Below are 5135 nucleotides of genomic sequence, written 5' to 3'. Positions count from 1 at the left end.
CCTGATATCAAAGCCAGATAAATGCATTTTAAGAAAAAGCTATAAACCAATTTCTCTAATGTTCATAGATGCATTATTCTTTAATAAGATATTATAATAGCAAAATGAATCCAGTAATATAAAAAGGATGCTACGATATGACAAAGTGAGATTTATCCCAGGAATGCAAGGTAGGTTTAACATTTGAAAATCAATTATATGATACAGCATATTAATAGAATAAATAACAAAATTCACATGATTATCTCAATAAATGCAGAAAAACACTTGACACACACACACACACAAAACTCACACCCTCTTATGAAAAACACTCTCAATAAATTAGGAACAGAAGGCAAATTCCACAACTGGATAGAGAGCATCTATGAAAAACCCATAGCTAACGTTATACTGGCTAGTGGAAAAATTAATGCTTTCCCCCCTAAAATCAAGAACAAGGTAGAAATGTCTATTCTTGTCACTTTTTATTTTTTATTAATTAATTAATTTATATTTATTTATTTATTTATTTATTTTTTGAGACGGAGTTTCACTCTTGTTGCCCAGACTGGAGTGCAATGGTGTGATCTCAGCTCACCACAGCCTCCGCCTCCCAGGTTCAAGTGATTCTCCTGTCTCAGCCTCCCGAGTAGCTGGGATTACAAGCATGAGCCACCACACCCGGCTCTTGTCACTTTTTTAAACATTGTACTGGAGGTTTTAGCCAGGAAAATAGTCAAAAACAAAACAATAACAACAACAATAAAAACAAAACGATAATAACAAGGTCATTCAGATTGGAAAGGAATAAGTAAAACTGGATTTATTCTCAGAAGAGATGATTTTTGAGAGTCATGTATGTAGAAAATGCCAAAGAATCCTCCTAAAACTAATAAGAACAAATAAACAAGTTTAGCAAGGTTGTCTGACACAAGATCAGTATAAAAGAAATGTTGTAATTTTATATGCTAGCAATGAAAATTAAAAATAAAATTAAGAAAATAATTCTGTTCATAATAGCCTCACAGAGAATAAAATAGGAATAAATTAGTAAAGAAAATACAAGACTCATACGTGGAAAACTACAAAACATTGTTGAGAAAAATTAAAAACAAGCTAAATAAATGGAGAGATATCCCAAGTGCACATGGATTTCAATATTATCATGATGGCAGTTCTCCCCCAAATTGATTTATTAACCTAACACAATCCCTATCAAACACCCAGGAAGCTTTTTTTGTGAGAATTGATAACCTAATTTAAAAATATCTATATAAAAATGCAAAGGATCTGGAGTAGCCAAACAATTTTTTAAAAGAGAACAAATTAGGGACTGACATTACTCAATATGAAACTTACTCTAAAACTACACTTTTTAAGACTATATGGTATTAGCACAAGGATAGATATATAGATCAGTGGAGTGGAATTATAAGTCTAGAAACAAACCCTCACATTTACAACCAACTGATTTTCTAAAAAGATTCCAGAAAACTCAGTTCAATGATGAAAGGGTTATCTTTTCAAAAAACATTGCTGGGACAATTTAATAACCACGTGCCAAAAAAAAAAAAAGAGAAAGAACTTAGGCTCTCATTTCACAGCATAAACAGAAAAATTAATCCACAATGGATCATAGACATAAATGTAAGAGATAAAATTATTCAACTTGTAGAAGAAAACATAGAAGACAATTTTTTCTGACCTTAGATTAGGCTATATATTTTTATGAGTGACACCAAAAGTAAGATCCATACAAGAAAAAAATTTATAAATTAGACCCCATCAAAATTGAAAACATTCATGCTTTAAAAAATACCACTAAGAAAATAAAAAGATAAGCCAAATACTCAGAGAAAATGTTTGCAAATCTGATAAAGGACTTATATACAAATTATATAAAGAGTTCTCCAAACATATATTGATAAGAAAACAAATAACCGAATATAAAAATGGTCAAAAGAATTGAATAGACATTTCACCAAAAAATTATACAAATGGCTAAAAAGCTCTTGAAAAGATGTTCAACAACATTAGTTACTAGGGAAATGCAAATTAAAACCATGCTGAGCTACAACTACACGCTCACTGGGATGGCTATCATCAAAAAACAGACAATACCAAGTGTGATGAGCATATGGAGAAATTTTAACCATCACATGTTGCCGATGAAGATTTAAAAGAATGCAGCCACTTTAGACAAGTCTGGCATTTTCTTAGAAAGTTAAACTTAACCGCTTGATTCAGCAATTCCACTCCTAGTAATCTACCTAAGATAAATGAAAGCACATGTCCACACATAGACATGTTTGCAAATACTCAGAGCAGTATCATTCATAACAGCTCAATACTAGAAAGAACCCAAGTGTCTGTTAATTGGTAAATGAATAAACAAAGTGTGTCTTATGCACACAGTGAAATACTCTTGTGAAAGTCTTGTCGTACTCAACTAAAACAGAGTTGAGAAACCAGGAGGGAAAAGCCCTGGGGACACATACCATCTCTCCAAAACTGTAATTCTCTGCAAGCCCAGTTGCTAAAACCGCCTGCTGTAAACTGAAACCAGTTTTATCTACAGCTGCTGAAATAACTTGCTGCAATTCTAAGACTAGTTTTACCCACTACCATCACTTACCGGTTAGAGCTTGCCAGCTCCCTGAAACCTTAGTAGAGCCAATGAACTTTCTCAAAGAGCAACACGTAACATATCTCTTTTTAAAAAATAAAACCTCTAAACTTCTTGTTCTCTGGACATACCAAAGACAACCCAGTTTGTGCGTATGTCTCAAATTGCAATTCTTTCTTCCCAAAGAAAATGCTACTTTTAGAAATTCGAGGGCCGGGCTCATGCCTGTAATCCCAGCACTTTGGGAGGCTGAGGCGGGCGGATCACGAGGTCAGGAGATTGAGACCATCCTGGCTAACACAGTGAAACCCTGTCTCTACTAAAAATACAAAAAATTAGCCAAGCGTGGTGGCGGACGCCTGTAGTCCCAGCTACTCGGGAGGCTGAGGCAGGAGAATGGTGTAAACCTGGAAGGCGGAGCTTGCAGTGAGCCGAGATTGCTCCACTGCACACCAGCCTAGGCGACACAGTGAGACTCTGTCTCAAAAAAAAAAGAAAAGAAAAAAAGAAAAGAAATTCATCTCTCTATATTTTATTTGACTTCAACACTTTTCAGCAATAAAAAGGAAGAAAAAAAACTACTGATACATAGATGAACCTCAAAAATAGTCTGCTAAAACAGAGTGAAAGAAGCCAGACACAAAGGCTACATATTGTATGATTCCATTTATATTAAATATCCAGAAAGGGTAAATTGACAGAGACAGAGAGCAGATTAGCAATTGCCAAGGGGTGGGGAGAATTGACTACAAACCAGTCTGAAGGAACTTTTTGGGTTAAAGGGAATGATCTAGAACTGGGTCATGGTGATAGCTGCACAACTCTGTAAATTTGTGAAAAATCATTGAATTGAACACTTACAATGAGCGAATTTAAAAGTCGGTAGATTATGCCTTAGTAAAGCTGTTTAAGGAGTCTCCCTGAGCCTATTCTGGCTTGGGAGTCTGCCCGATAAACAGACAAACAAATAAAGAAATTTATTAATAAAGCTGTTTAAAAACTTGAAAACACGAACTACAGAAACCTAAAAATCCAACTGCAGCCCATTTGGTTCTGCTTTGCTATGAATCATCTCTACTGCTGAAATTAAGTTAGAATTTGGAATGATTCGGTGAGTTTAGTGGATAGAACTCCAAGAAGCTTGGTTTTATATACCCAATGACATTTAAAGAAATAAGCATTCAGTAAACATTGTCGTCTGTTTACAGAAATGTACTGTTTTCTATGCTTCCTTTAGCGCAAGCTTGCTTCACTTTTCAGGGGGTATTACTACCCGATATAAGCAATAATTAATTAAGAGCTCAGCTCCTGCACCAGAAGCCAGCAGAAGGGCAAAGAAAGTCAAACAGATGTCTTCAAAATGAGTTGGATTTTTTGAGCAAAGTTATCTAATTATTGCTAATGCACACAAGTGCCATGGATTGAAAAATACCCCCTTTCAGGAATAGCAATAACAATAATCAGCTGGCGGGGGGTAGGGGCGGAAACAACTTTGAATTTTATATACTGGCAGTTGAAAGGTATAAATATAAAATTAATGCATGCATTGAATCAACTTTGGTCATTGTGACCAAGTGGGGAGGTTGTTGGATCAGAACTGTTTAAGAGAGAAAATGGGTTGGAAGGGGACAGATTTGCCCTACCAGATATCAGACTTATTTTGGAACACTAGTAAATTTAAAAGTGGTATTGGCATTTTGATATATGAATAGAACAATGAAATCAGAGAGCTAGAAGCAGAGTCATATAATCTATAATATTATAATCTTTAAAATGATACATTATACTACATTGAAATGAAACATTTCAATGACAACAAAAATAGAAACTAAGTTAGAAAACAGTCATAGCGGGTTGCGGGGGGTGGTTAGCAATTTTTTGTGAATAGCCAGATGATAAATATTTTCGGCTTTGCAGGCCACATGCATCTCTGTTGCCACTGCTGCTGCTGCTGCTTTCTTCTTTCTTTGCAATCTTTAAAAATGTAAAGACATTAGATTACATTAAAATTAGTTTGGGATGTGCAAAAATAGGCCATAAACAAGGACCATAGTTTGCCAACCCCTGATCCACAGTATTCGAGAAGATAATTTCAACCACTATAAACAACAAAGGTTTAGTAATTAGAATATAAAATGACTTATGAGCAAATCAGTAAGAATAGAGACAATCCAACAGGAAGATGAGCAAATGATATGAACAGGAAATTAAATAGCTAATAAACACATATGAAAAACGCATATGGAAAGAGGAAAATATAACATCACTGAGATAACATTGCACATCCTTCCTTTTTTTAAAAAAATAAAAAGTGTTTCAGCAGAGACAGATTAACTTCAATTCTTACGCAGCTGGTGGGAGTGTAACTGGTTTAAACACTTTGGAAAGCAATTTTGCATTATATAGTAAATTTGAAGATGCACATACTCTATAATCCAACAATTCCTCTAATAGGTGCTAAGGAAAAAGTGGGAAACCACTTAATGTCCATTAGTGGGGCAATGGACAGTCAACTGTGGCATTTATA

This window comes from Homo sapiens, chromosome 2 (assembly GCF_000001405.40).
Source record: "Homo sapiens chromosome 2, GRCh38.p14 Primary Assembly".
NCBI lineage: Eukaryota > Metazoa > Chordata > Mammalia > Primates > Hominidae > Homo > Homo sapiens.
This window is presented reverse-complemented; position numbering follows the sequence as displayed.